This window comes from Homo sapiens, chromosome 10 (assembly GCF_000001405.40).
Source record: "Homo sapiens chromosome 10, GRCh38.p14 Primary Assembly".
Taxonomy (NCBI): Eukaryota; Metazoa; Chordata; class Mammalia; order Primates; family Hominidae; genus Homo; species Homo sapiens.
Window position 1 is genome coordinate 43,898,230 of NC_000010.11, and position 14,916 is coordinate 43,913,145.

Here is a 14,916-nt window from a genome sequence, read left to right on the forward strand (position 1 = left end):
TCTCCTCCACCTCTGGGTCTGAAAGTCCCCCACACTAGCCAGTGCTTGGGCTGATCTGGGTAGCTTCTGGATTTGGGAACTTTGACCTTCAACCTTCTTACCCAGAATATCTAAGGCCTTGGTTGTCTTGCCCTTGTCAGGGGGCAGGGGCTGCAGTTGCCTGTTCACCATCCTCACTGGATATGGAGGCCACAAAGGGTACCCCAGGAAATCACTGCACTCCATATAAGACTCCTCCTTGAATCCATTAGGAAGTGGAAACTCTAGCTCCTCACAGCCATCGGGATCCAGGCCCTTCACCAGTTCCCTCTTGCCTGTTGGTTCACTGGCATCTGTGGCCCAAAGGTGACCGGGTGAGAGTCACGAATTTAAGCTGAGTAGAGGCCCTGTTGTGCTCACTTAGTAGAAGCTTTTCCCTTGACCACCACCTCCACCCCCTTTGCCACCCCTAACCCAGGGCCTCTGATCAGCCCAAACCTAAGGCTGCTGTGGCAGGAAGTGCACATTCCCCAGGGGTCATGGGGGTGGCCAGCCCTGCCCCTTGGCTCCTCCAGGAGTCTGTGTGGGTACACACCTCAGGTGCCTTCTCCATACAGATTGGTCAACTTCCAGTGTGGCCACAGCTCTGCCAACAGGGAGGAATTTCCTTCACTTTCGTCCTCCAGGGATTTGTGAGTAGCAGGCATGGGCAGTCTACTTTTGCTGGTTGGTGCTGACGCACAGGGCTGCCCTATGTTGCCCAGGCCCAGTTCCGTCCCATGGCAGCTAATTGCAGGGAAACCCTGGAACTGGCCAATGCCAGCTGAGAGCAAGGTATCAGTGCAGCAGGCAGGGGCGCGGGAGCCTGGGCCATCTGTGCACATCATTTTCTCTTCCCCTGGGTCTGCTCGCGCTGGATCTTGAGCATCCCAGTTCCTGTGTGCAAAGGATTGCTGCCGTGCCCACCCAAGCTTATGGCACAGGGGGCATCCGACTGCATGCAGCCCTGCCTAGGAGCTCCTGTGGAGCCCAGCGTTGTGCCTGGAGTTGCTCTTCAAATATGAGTAATTCCTGCCACAGAAGAGGCAGCCCTGCCCAGATCCCAGGGGCCCATGCTGCAGCTCTGCTACTGGGGCTTTCCAGAGACTGGAGCAGAGGCATGCTCCATCGGATGCCGTGTGGCCTAGGGGCAAACTGCATACAGCCAGGGCCTGCAGTACAGCCTTTTCTGGCTCTGAGCCTCATGCAGAGTTGGCAGCTGACTAGGTCATGTGATAAATAGATCAGATCAGTACTTCCAGGTGTGGTTTATATGGCATCGGAAATCCACAAGGCCTGGCAAAAGCCAGATGCCGTCTTAGTGGTAGGGAGTACAAGGTGCAACAGCATGTCTTTCACCCCAGAAGAAACGTCCCAGCATCACCCAGACCACCGGACCTATGAACTTTGCAATGGGCAAAACTGCTTTGGGATCTGCTTCCACCTTCTGGGCCTCATGTGCTGTGAATACCAGTAGAGTATGTCATGCTTCCAAGTCAGAGGACTTGGGCTGCACTGGGTGCCTCTAGAGGAAAGGTCAATTGAGTTGTGATTTCCAGCATTAGGGTTCTCAAGGCACAATGCATTTATTTCTATCTGAAGAATGGGACTATTAATGTCTTCCCTACAATCCTCCTACTGTTATTATGTGGGTCAAAAGAGGAAATACACAGGAAGCACTTTGTCAACTGTGAAGCATTGCTCAAATATTAAATGATTGATATTATTATCCTGTTCTAGATGTCTCATTGCTTTTTTTTTTTTTTTTTTTTTTTTTTGGTGGGATTGGAGGCTTGAAGGAGGGGAAAGGCATGAGTTATGGTTGCCACTAACAGAGCTCAGGGCCAGAAAAATCCTGAAAATGAAGTGAACAGGGCAAACAGGGGCATGCTCCCATCCAGGTGAGCCTGTCCTGAAGCTTCCTCTACATTTCAGCTGGTGCCCTGGAATGGACAATTGAAGGGTGAAATGGAGCATTTCTAAGCCCTAATTATTTGACTGGTAGTTCCCTTAGGTGGAGCTATACCTACTCAAGCTGTAACCAAACTCACCCTGAATGGAAAGATGACCAAGCACTTCCTAAGCTCCATGTACTGCACGCGTGGCCTGCTCACTCCATGAAGCGGGCCGCCAGGTCAAGGCCCTTGGAGCAGACCTCTGAGGAGAAGGTAAGATGTCGTCTAGAAACTCAGCAGCAGCACACTATTTTGGGCTGGGAGCTTGGTCTGGGATGGATTGGATTTTCCTGAGGTCTCATTTTTCCTTGAGTAGAAGGTGTGCCCCAGAGCAAGCAATTTGACTTGGGCACAGATGACCAAGTGCCTGGATTTCTGGGAATGACAACCGGAGCATCACAACAGGTTAATGACAATGACATAGGAAGAGGCTCCAGGAGCAAACCTTGGGGGGTTTGGCTTCAGGAGTGAGTTCTGTCTGGCCTCCCCCGCTCTGTTGCAGGGCTGCACCATAGTTGAAGATGGTCGGGGGCCAAGCTGCTCCCCTGTGCACCGGCTTTCTGGGAGCAAATGTATGCTGGAAATCCAAGCCTTTCTCTTGGCAGTGATTGAAGGAAATCACTGGAAATACAGTGGTATCCCTGGACACCGAACAAGCGTGACTTATGGTATGCAATCTCAAAGCAACTTTTATTGTCAGAGTGCTGATTTTTATTTTTTCCTGGTCCTGGATAAAAACTCAGCAGTCCTTAAGTTTTATTGAAAAGAAAATTTAGAAATTAGAAATTAGAAAAATATAGAAGCACAATACTAGGATAATGTGAGATTATGAAAGCACACAGGGACATTCATGCAGAAGCTGAATAGTGAAGAAGGACTGAGGGCAAAAGTGGAAACATTCTTCTTTCCAGGGCTGAGCCTCATGGTTTTGTGCAGCTGACATTAGGCCTGGCCTGAGTAAAAAAAGTAAGTCTTCATGGACGTTTAGGTGTCTGCAACTTTAGTGTGGTATATCTACCTATTTTCCCCAAAATCAATTTGCAGACTTTTGGAGAGAATAATGATAAAATGAAAATAGCAAGGAAAAATAACACTTGTAAAAGATTAGGAACGAATTTGATGGCATATTACTGCCTTTTAAAATTAATGACAATTCTAAAGCTAGTATAAAATGGACTTTATTTAAATAAACCTGATCACATTGTAAATATCTTAAGAAGAAACAGTTTTCTTTGTATCATACTGTAATGTTAGTTTGCATGAAAAGCTCTGTGGTGCAGTGGCAAACAGGGCTAAGGATGTTTGCTGATGTCGCAGTGGAAGTATTAGGTATTGCATTGTAAGTAAAACATACACAGTAAAAGTTCACATGTCTGTAAACTATCCCCATATTATTCTAAATTTCATGGATTTTCAGTCTGAACTAGAAATCCACAGGGATCCTATCACTTGTAAACCTGGAGCTCGCTCCTGTCTTCACCCTGTCTGGCTGGTGTTTCATCTCAGAGAGTGATGTGGCTTTAAGGCAGAGGGCTCCAAGCAGATGGGCTGGCTGAGATGTTCAGTTTATTTGCTTTTGACCATGGAAAGTTATATCCCCTTTCCAAACCTATATCTTCACCTGTAAAATAAGGATAAAAAAATAGCACCTATTTCAAAGAGTAACTGTAAGAGAGAAATGAAACAATACACGTGATGTGCTTATTTGCATTGAGCCTAAAACTGAGGAGAGTTGATAAATGACACCTATTTCTATTTTTCCTCTTATGAGAGACTTTCATCAGAGTCTGAGTGAGCTGACTCAAACGACATTATAAAGCACCTGCTTTGTGCAAGACATGTGGGGATTTGGACCATCACAATGATTTCAAAAAAAAAACAAAAAACAAAAAACAGAGAAATGGTAGAGGAGCAGCCGTTGGCACTTTAGGAGTGTGAAAAGCACAGCACACACATACAATGCATGCACCCACAGCCCATAAACATCCACACCCCCTCCCACGTGAATGCCAGAGCAGAGCGCTTGGCTCATCCACGTTCCCTGTGCTCCCCCCATTTTCCAGCCTCCCTCACAGTCAGGTCAGATGTTCCGCCCAGTGGCCTGTGGGCGGCTGTGAGAAGGGTCACCTCCAGGTTGAGCAGGTGGGAGCCCACAAGCTTCCTTTGTCTTTGCCGCTTTGACCTGGGAGGCCATGGACCTGGGTCACATAGAGCAAGGTGAAGGAGGCTGCCTGACTCAAATTGAATATTGTGTGAGAAATAAACTTTTGTATATTGCAATGGTGATACAGGGGTTGGTTTTAAGAGCTAGTTGAGTGTCAGTCATTCTGCGATGTTCATCAATTACCTAAAAGGTCTCAGCTCTTGAATGACCACTGAGTGAGAGAACAATATCCAACAGCTGCAAAAGCAGACAGCTCAGATAGGGTTTCAATAAATGATGCACCCATTAAGAGGCACCGCTGGAAAGACCATCCTGACAGTGAGCTCTTACAGCATCCACCCAGCCTGTATTTGGAGAAACCATCTTTTCCTTCCCACAGTGGCTTATGCCATGTTGGAGACCCTCGGAAACTGGATTCTTCCCTTATCGCCTTCTGGCCCTCCTGATGATTGAGCCTCATGACCCCCAAATCCAGATGTCCAGAACATGAGATGTGGCTTCTTGGCAGGAGGTAGTGAGGGATGTGCGAAAGATTCAGATGAGTCCCAGCCACAGGCAGAGGCTGTGACAAGGCAGCTGGGGATGGGCAGGACTGTTGCCGGACTGTCTACACAAGCCCATTGGAAAATAGCAACTTGTGGCATTTAGGCTGTGAACAGGATCAAAGGGGGTCAAAGTCTCCTAATGGCAACTGGGAACAGGGAAGAGCTAAGAGGCTGGCAATTACAACATGGGCAAAGTGCAGGTCCACTCAAAACAGTAGCCAGCAGGTAGCCGTGTCTGCTGTGTGGTAAGCGTCTTACCTACATGATCTGTTTTGATCATCCTGATAACCTTATGAAGTAGGATTGATTACCTGTTAATGATGAAAAAACATTGAGGTTCAAAGATGGTAAGCAATTTGCCCAAGAATTACAGAATGATTAAATCTTGGAGCCAGATTCAAGATGAAATTCCTCAGACTCAAAAGCACTTACTCTCTTCACTTGAGCTCATTGCATCCCAAGAAGGAAAAGACATGAAACAAAATGGATGGCTTAAGAAGCCGGCATGGCCATTACCTGTGTGACTTGGCAGGACATCATGTTGGGACTTCAGAAGGAGGCCAGTAGGAAGAGGAAGCTGGAAATAGATGTGGCAGAAGCAGCAGGATCCAGGCCAGGGTCGCTTTCGAAGGTGAAATCTATTCTGCTAGTCTGGGCAATGGTAGCAGTTTCCAGTACCTGCAGGTGGACTACGAGGCAGTGACATTCTCGTTCCACCTGATCTGTTTAGCACCTTGCTGGATGTGTAGGGCAGAGTCTCACCTCCTGAGAAGGGGTCTGGGCAGGACTGCACAGGGCATCATGCCTTCCACCTGGACCTCTGGGCAGGGCTACAGGCCCTGCGGGTGGACTGGATGCAATTCGGAACATGGAGACAGACATGTTGCATTCCGACTAGGGAGACCTGGCAGAGCTTAGGGGACCCTGACAGTGCAGAGACTGTGAGGGAATCTAGGCTCGTCTTGGGCTGCATGGCCCCCCTGAGCAGCAGCAGGGACTGCTCTCTGGATGGCAGGGCTAAGCCTGCAGATTCTGGGGCTGCTGAGTGCCTACAGCCTAGGGTTGCGGAGAAAGTAGCACCTGACACCGGTTCAGAGGAGACAACCTGCCACTCTCTGAGTTACAGGCTGCATTTCACTTCACTTGAGGGTCCGATTCCGGATGGAATATAGGGCCATTAGAGGCGAGGACTGAGGGTCGGTAAGGCTGGAAGATTTGTTGGAAGGTCAGTGATGTGGCTGTTGACGTGCATGAAAATGAAGATGATGAACCAGGTACCTGACATCCGGCAGTTTATAGACAGCAGATCCCTAAAAGGGTGGGGCAGGAGGCAAGGTAGCTGTCCCTCGATACCTACAAGCTGTGAACAGAGTCCCCAGGACCCGTCCCTCTCTTGGGAACCACAAGCTGATGACTCTTTGGCTCCCACTGGTTTTGCTTGGCTTGCACAGGGTTAAAAGCTGAATTTAAATGTCCTGGGTGGGGCCTGTGTTTTCCAGGCCCACCAGTCCCATCCGATACCCAGACACCTTTACTCAGGTGCGCCACCTGCCTGGGTTGTGGGTGTCTGGGAACTGTCGCGGGAGTGCCGCCAGCCCGGTTTTGTTGTCCCATGCAGAGGCGGTGGTCCAGCCTCAGACTCTTAGCTGCAGGACTGACAGTGAAGTGAGAGCATGCCTTGCCCTTCCCTGCCTCCCCTCTGCAAGCTGTTTCCCCAGGACAGGACCCAGAAATGCCCCCCCAGCAGCCCCACCACCATCCTGCTCAATCTGGAAAGGGAGAGCAGAGAGGAAAAGAGGAGAGAGTTTGTGGAGAAACAGGGTGAGACAACGATTGGAAGTGGGCAGGGAAGACCAAGGGAAAGATATGGCCTTCTCCTGGGAGTCCAGAAGTGATTGTTATGTCTGGGAGCTCCCAGACATGTATTTTCCAGGTCCTGGGATTTTAGTTACAAAGTTCTGCATGAGCTGTGAGTGAGGTGGGCTGGTAGCACAGGGCTAGGAGTGATGGTTCACACACGATTCTTCAAGGGGCTGGTAGAGGGGCACCTCCGAGAGGGGGAGCTTCAGGGCCAGGGAAATACGAAGACCCGAGCAGAGCTGAATGAGTTAGAACAGGGGGAGGTTGTTCTTCTTCACTGCCCAGCCTGCCCCCATCCCAGCTGCCGGCACACGAGCTACTGAGACCCAGGCGTGTGGCCAATCCACAGGAGGTGGGCTGTGAGTGTGAAGTGCATGGCAGACACACACGAGCTCAAAGACCTGGCCTGAAGAGAAGAAAGCAACCGATCCCATTAATAAGTTATGTGAAGGTTACATGCTGAACTGATAATATTTTGGATGTATTAAGTTAAATAAATTATATTACATGATTTTACTAGTTTCTCTTTACTGTTTTTTTTTTTTTTTTTTTTTTTTTTAGTGTGGCTCCTAGAACATTTGAAACTATGTATGTGCTTTGTATCACACTCTATTGGACAATACTAATCTAGGCTCTTCTTAAAGCTCCAGGAGCAAAATATACAAACACAGAAGAAAACACACACGTGCACGTGGACACACACACACACACACACACACACACACACACACTCTAGAGGGTTTCAGGCAGCTCCAGCAGCTGGAAGACAAGACTGCTCGAGATAAGTCTGTTGAAACTGTGATAAATTAAAAAATAACGCAGACCACCCCCGGCCCTTGGGGAGCTCCTGCTAGTGCTCAGTCCCCATTGTGCCAGCGCCTGACTCCTCTTTTCCTGCCCTCGCCTCCAGCCCAGTTCAGGCTGCTTCCCACTTTCTGAACGCCACCACAGACTCAGGGTGTCAGATGTGCTGGGAGAAAACAAGCGCTTACATTTCAGAAATAAGAAATCTTTTTCTCAGGCTTTGGGGTTAATGGTATGAGAGTTTCTGCATTCCAGCTGCTGTGCTGGGTCTCTGGCAGGCCAGCTGTTCTCTGCTCCAATGGAAAACATAACTAAGTAGTCATTTCAGTGTGTAAAAAGTTCAGCAGAATTGTTGGAGCTATCACCATAAATCAGAAATGACTTTCTTTAGGGACTCGATTGCCACTTGATTTAGCATTTCCTGGCACCTTGCCTATCATAGAATGAAGCCATGATTGCTTCCTATACAGAATGTTATCTGTAAAACATCTCACCAGAAGCCCACAGAACGCTGACCAGCCTGCAAGTTTTGATAATCTATGGCTGGCCTTCGTATTGAGAATAAATTTGACAATGGGACCCATTGTTAAATTAGATAATATATTTCATGGAACAGCTTCCAAATGAAAATGGGGTTCATACAGTTTTTTACATATCATTTGTTCCAGAAAAAGGAAAAATGGACTCTGTTCAAGGGAGAAAATTCAGTGAAATATTCATACTGTGAAATCTGAGAAATTATCCTAAGCAAACTACATGCTGACATGCTTTGTTACTGTATGAATGGGGAAATGTGAATCGGCTGAGGGAAGGGTAGGGTGACAGCCGCATGATGGAAATGTCGAGAGTTCCCTTAGCTTAGTTCCTTACATGTAAAGAAGGAACAATGTAGTTGGGAAGGATCACGGGGAAGGTCTAGAAGACTCTCTCCAATGCCCTGTAGCTTTTCCTGGCATGTGCGCTGTCCAGAAGAGAGGCCCAGAGGGGAAGAGGGAGGCTGTAAGATTTGTAGGTAGAGATTCTGCCTTTCACAAAGCCAGGGAGGCACTAACCCCAGCTGACACTTGTCATGGGCTGTGAGCCATGAACAGGCCAAGAACAGGGGTGAACCTCGCTGGCGCTCAGCAGAGAACAAGGGCACTTCCAGGAAACTCCCAGTGGCTTCCAAACTGAGAAAAGAACCAAGGGCAGAGACGCTCCACTCAGGCCATCTCAGAACGGCTTGCTTCCTGGCTCCCGGGGCTGCTGAATCAGCATAGAGAACTGAGAACTCGGTCTTCTTCCCTGCCCCTTCCCTTGGGTCGGAATAACTCAGACCGGGATCCCCACTAATGGTTCTGGACAAACATTGCATTCCCTCTGTAATGTCGAGCACACAGATGAAAATCACCAGGAGAATGAGAAGATAGCACAGTTCAAAAGGAGGAAGCACTCTGAGGAATCAGGGGAAATATTTTCCTATAAAATATAGTTTCTGAAAGAGATGGGAAAATTTTGAGAACACTTCTGATCTGTGTTTCCAATAAACTTCAAATGAGCATTTCTTCTATGAAATTCGAGTAGAGAACCATAAAGAAAAAAAACAAACAGGGTAGGGAAGGCTGTGAGATGATTTAAAAAATGTTCATTTCAGAAATGGAAACGGGGAAGGGGAGAGCAAAATGGACCTTTCAGTAAAAAAGGTTTTATAAGAGAGAAGTCAAATTTGACATCACAGAAGTCAGAGGAAGAGGATAAGAGAAGGTTAATTAGAGAAAATATAGGAAAAGCATGGGCTGAGATATATTTAATTTATAAATATTAGGCATTCCAGAGAAAGAACCTCCAAAAGTGGAGCTATCATTAAAGAACTATTTGGTGGAAATTTTCCCAAGTTAAAGAAAGACTCTTCAGAAATCTAGATAAAATAATGAAGGGCTTTTTTTTGCCTAGACTTACCCTGATAATTTATTTTAATTTCAAGAAAAAGCCCCCACAAATTCAGTGAGGGTCAAGGCGATAAAACTTGGTTCCTGTTTCTTTGTAACACGAAGACAATGATCATCAGTTGCAGAAATGTGACCAAGAAAAGTATGGTGACCCACATGGGGTTTCCAGATAAAATGCAGGATGCCCAGGCAATATTGGGGGCATTCTTATACCAGAAGCGTTATTTCATGTTTATCTGAAATTTAAATTGAAGTGTCTGTCCTGCATTCTCCCATTTTGGCTCCCCTAGCTGCCATGCAGACATTGAGATCCCAGTGCAGAAAAGCTGCGTTCTCTTGTGAACTTGAGAAGTTCAGACCCCATGTGAGGGTCTGGACAGACAACAGCCACAAAAAAATGCAAACAAGAAACATCTTAGTGAGTCATTTTTAAGCCAACTGAGTGAGGAATCAAAATATCAAATCCAAAAATGGAGAATTCATGATATAAAATACTAATAAAAATAAACAAATAACCTCTTCCCCCCAAACAAACATAAACTATAGAACAAAATTAATGTAATTCTCAATGGGACATTAAAACACAACAAGAATGCCAAAAATAATTTCCAAAAGAGGACACATGGTTAAAAATATTAACTAAGTAATAGTTATCTAGTTCAAATAACCTACTGTATCACTAAAAATTGGGAATTGAATGGCCAGAAGACAAGATGTAAAAGTGGAGTATATTCCTCATATCACACAGAGAAGGATCAATTTATATTGTCTTTTTTTTTTTTTTTCCTGAAGAGGGGTCTTGCTCTGTTGCCCAAACTGAAGTGCAGTGGTGCAATCACAGCTTACTGTAACTTTGAACTCCTGGGCTCAAGTGATCCTCCTACCTCAGCCTCCCAAAGCACTGGGATTGCAAGTGTGAGCCACTATGCCAGGCCTATTTTTGATAATGAAAATTAGAGAAAGTAGATTCCAGTGCATACTTATTAAATGTCATTACTAACAGAATGAAAATAGTAGATGTGAGTTCCAAATCACAAGGGAAAAGTCAGGTTAAAAAAGTAACCTCAATATAAAAGGTGTATTAAAAATGACCATAAAACAAAATAGCAGAAATAAAATTAAGCATATAAATCATGTTAATAAAATGATCAGGATGAACTCTTATTTTGAATCACAGACTCACATTTGGTTAAGAGTAAAATCTAAATACTGCGTTAGTGTACCCAGTTAATCCAAAAATATTAAAAATAAGGCAATGGGCAATGATATAGTGAATGAATCCCAACAAAAAGAGACAGGAGTGTGAATATGAACAGGAGACAAGGTGGAACTCAAGGCCAAAACAGCTAAAAGAAAAAATCCACAATGAAAGAATGACAATTTTGCACACTTCTATGGTGATTAAAAAAAAGCATCAAATGTAATTAACAAAAGTTTTAGCAATACAAAAGAAAATAAGGGAAGCACTGTTGTTGTAGTAATGTTAACAAACTTGTGTTGCAAGAAATCACGTGGACAACAACCAATAAGGGAGTAGAGGATTCAAACCATGTCACGTATTTGTATTGCACAAATGGATAATGTATTTTTCCAAATATACTTAGAATATTGATCTACAAATTGATCATAAAAACATCTTAACACACTTCCCAATTACCAGTTAAAATTTGCATTAGTGCCTAGTTTTTGGTTGTGTCATAAAACACCCAGTGCTGTTGGGGGATCCTCACAATGATGGCTATTGTTATCATAAAATATTGACTGAGAGCCTGCAACGCACATGTGCCCCTGCAGGGTGGCATAGACGGCGAGCCCAGGGAGGCCACTGACATGCATTCAAGAGAAAAGAAAAGAAGCCAGGCTTTGGTCAGTTGTGAATATACCATCTCCTGACTCCCAAGCATTGGTTCATCATCCAGCTGGCAATTGTTGAGCCTCAGCCAATGGTGGAACCAAAATCTAGTATCTCTGGAGTAATTTCCATTTCCAACAGAAGGAGAGTGACTTTCACTGACTCTTACTCTCCATTTGGATTTCAGGCATAAGTGCTTCATGGTGGAGTGAGAATGGCTTGCCCTGGAAGGGTCATGTTTTAGAAGGAGTGATCTTCATTGTGAAGTCTAAACTGTTCTGGAAATATAAGCTTTGAAACCCAGGTAGGCAGGTTTCATTTTAAGCAATATTGCAGGATCACAGGATAATTATTGGTTTATAAGGTGATTCTTCACTGTACAAAGTATCTTAAATACTAAACATGCTGATGTGTTGCAAATTTGATTAGGTTTTCACAAGACTTCTCTAGAATGTGTTTATGTGTACCTATGAGGAAAAATTATTGACTCTTTTACCAGGGCTGCCAACAGGGTCTAAAATGAGACCACAAGGCTCTCCTTGACAGGAGTGGTGTGCTTAAAGACAAAGTCACCTGCAAGGTTAATAAATTATTTTTAATAAGTAGATAATGGAGAAAAAGCATGAAAATGTTTCCTTCAATATGTGGCATGGGCTCCATTCTAATGTGATTCGGCGGTGACTTTGTATTTTTAAGGAGCTGAACTCCTTGGCTGTCCTCATCCAGGTTTGCAGAATCTGACCAAGAATGATGTTGAACAGCTCCTCAGCCATAAGGCCCCTGAAGTTGTCAGAGCCCCACTTGTCCTGTCCTGGGTCACCCTGCTTGTCACAGAATGGAGTCCAGTTCACATACTCCCCATCTATACCTAGTTCCATACATACACAATCTTATCGTGAGCTCCTTTTAATTTAAACACTTACATCAGTTATTTACAGCTGCATGATTTCATTCCACATGGTGGTGATATTTTTTTCTCCAAATATGGACTCATTGGATGGTCATAAATAAAGTAATCTGGGCGTAGGAAATGGAGTATCCTTCCCCCGGGGTCATTCCAGGGGAGGCAGGGAAGGAAGAGCTTCGCTATTTCGGGAAAGCTGGTGGACGCTTCGGCTCCGAGGCTGGCTGGGAGGGCCCATAGCTAGGCGGCAGCTGCCCTCAATCTCACAGCTTTAATGAAGGAGGGCTGCCGGATTTACATTGTTTAAACACTTAACGAAATTAGCTATGAAAAGAAGGATGGGAGGAGCCCTGGGTAGTGGGGGAATTTAGGCCTTCTGTCTTCACACACTTTACACACACACACACACACACACACACACACACACACACACACACACACACACACACACACAGTGATTTTCCTAAGAGGCTGCCAGTAGGAACTGGCAAGAAATTATGTGCCTCTTTACAGCAAGATTAAAAGCAACAACAGTGACAAAAACGCCTGTTTTGGAAAGCTGTGCCTGGCAGGGGCTGGTCAGGACTTTGGCGCGCTGGGCCCATGGGCTGCGCTGATTTGGAGCCAGCTCTGGATCAGCAGGGTGAGCGGCTGGCCTAGGGCGGTGGATCTGAAACCTAAGGATGAGATCCCAGGGGCTTCAGTGCCAGGAATGGAAACACTGGGATGGAGGTGGGAGCTTGCAGGCCCAGCCTTCTGAGGCTCTTTCAAATTATTCCTGGTCTACTAGATTTTTAGTTTGGCTCTAGTTGGTTAGAACAGAATTATGTCTAAGAATGTTAAACATTGACTGTTTCTCAAGCTGGGGTGATCTCTAGTGGATGGCCACAGAGCTCTGTCATTGAACCTATTCTCTTCAACATTTTAATCAATGGGTTGAATGGCATCATGGAAGACATACTTACCTAACATTCTAGTAACAAATATAAAAGCGCATATGAAATAGAAAACAAAATCATGAGTGGAAATAAATGTGAAAAATAGTAAATTGAGCTGAGATCAACAAGGTGAAGCTTGCAGGAGTAAATGGAAGATTCTAAAATTAGATTCCAGAAATCCATTTCATAAGCACAATATAGGAGAACCCTAGCTGGGTGGATACGACAGACACATCAGAAAACCCTCTGTGGTTCTGGTTAAGTGAGGAAAAATCATTGACTCTCCTATCAGGGCTGCCAACAGGGTATAAAATGAAGAGACCATGTCTCTCCTTCACAGGAGTGGTGTGCTTAAAGACAAAGTCACCTGCAAGTTTAGTAGATTGCTTTTAATGAGAGAAAAAGCATGAAAATATTTCCCTCAATATGTGACATGGGCTCCATTCTAATCTGACTCCATGGTGACTTTGCAATTTTAAGGAACTAAGCTCAAGGCGAGCCCCACAGAGCCAGGACTTGCTCCCTTAAAAAGCCCCAGCAGATCTGGATTGCCTCTGAGGCGAGAGACGCCCCAGGCCATTGCTACAGCACTGCTAGTGCCATGGCTTTCTGAATTAACAGGTGGACACTGTTTAGTCCTCTTTAAGAAACAGGATTGACTCTTTCCCCTAAATGATGTCATGAAGCATCTTTGATGAACAGGATTTGTTTCTCACAGTTCTGGGGGCTGAGAAGTTCCAGACCAAGGCACCAGCAGTTTAGTGCCTGGTGAGAGCCTGCTTCCACATTCATAGACAGCACCTTCTCACTGTGGCCTCATATGGCAGGAAAAGCATGAGAGAGCTCTCTGGGATCTCTCAGGTCACTCATCTCATCACAGGTTGCCACTGTCATGATCTCATTTAAACCTAATTACTTCTCAAAGATCCCATCTGCAAATACCATCACACCACGAGTTAGGTTTCAACATATGGATTCTGGGGGGACAAACAGTCCATGGCACTGTCCTGTAGCCCCTAAGTCAGCACCCTCTGCCCTGGGCGTTTCTCCTCTAAGGTCCACATCACCTGGCACACTTTATCACCATGAGCCTACCCTGTGTTTCCTGAGGATCTGCCACCTCCTTGGATCATCATTGCCCCTCCTTGTCATTCTCCTCTGTTGGCTGTTTCAGAACTCAGAGGCCCATTATTACCATGGGGCTATTGTTACATCTTCCCGGCTGGTCTCTCCTCTTTCCCAGCATCTCCTTCTTCTCCCTCTGCTGGAATAATGACTTTGGTGGGTATGAATTTAATCACCCCAGCCCCACTTACCATCTTTGGCTGACTCCCAGCTGCCCAAGGTTGCAGCCCAGGTTCTGACCCTGGCCTTTACCCACGTTTCCTGCCCTGACCCCATCTCTCTGTCTGTGCTCACCCTCCCAGCCCTCATTGCTTCCCCAGTACTGGTTCCTGCAAGCTGCTTGGTTGATGCTCCAGTTCCTCCTTTTTCTTCCTCTCTGCCTGGGGAACCTCTCGCATCTTTCAAGGTCAGGATGAGAGGCTCTGCCTCAGTATGTCGCAGTACTTCTGCCTCCTTGAAAATTAATTGCTTTTTCTTGGGATTCTAAAGGTTTCTTTGCCATTTCTCTGTAGAAACAAATCCTGAATTTGAGTTCCAATTCTGTCCCATACTTGCTGGTGACTCTGGGCAAGTCCTGACAGGCCCTGGGGAACTTGGCCTGTTAGAATCCCAGTGTCTTTTTGTAGAAAGTCAGAATAGTAGTGGTTACCTCTGTGCTGTGGACGGAATTGTGTTCCCCCAATTCATATGTGAAGTTCTTACCCCTAGTGTGATAGTATTTGGAGATGAGGCCTTTGGGGAGGTGATTAGATTTAGGTGAAGGACTTGAGGGTGGATCCTCATGATGGGGTTAGTGTCCTTATATGAAGAGACACCAGAGAGC

General features: G+C 45.7%; 2 long non-coding RNA genes across 8 annotated transcripts in view; one reads left to right on the plus strand and one right to left on the minus strand.

Moving 5' to 3' along the window:
- Positions 1–3,135: 3,135 nt before the first annotated feature.
- LINC02659 (long intergenic non-protein coding RNA 2659) lies at positions 3,136–14,140 on the minus strand. 5 transcript variants are annotated; one of them, NR_184140.1, is made up of 3 exons: positions 14,064–14,140; positions 5,199–5,360; positions 3,136–3,594 (listed from the first exon to the last, which is right to left on the minus strand). It is a non-coding gene; the product is annotated as a long intergenic non-protein coding RNA 2659 (long non-coding RNA). The 5 variants fall into 5 exon arrangements; NR_184144.1 differs by having other exon boundaries at positions 5,199–5,371; NR_184142.1 differs by having other exon boundaries at positions 5,199–5,920.
- Positions 11,067–14,916, plus strand: part of LINC00841 (long intergenic non-protein coding RNA 841) — a 71,970-nt gene continuing 68,120 nt past the window's right edge. For 2 of the 3 annotated variants that reach the window (NR_136147.1, NR_033846.2), the window contains exons 1-2: positions 11,067–11,140; positions 11,314–11,430. This is a non-coding gene — a long non-coding RNA (long intergenic non-protein coding RNA 841). Of the gene's footprint in view, positions 11,141–11,313; positions 11,431–14,172; positions 14,250–14,916 lie in introns of those variants that run through there. The other variant, NR_136148.1, reaches the window with a different exon arrangement.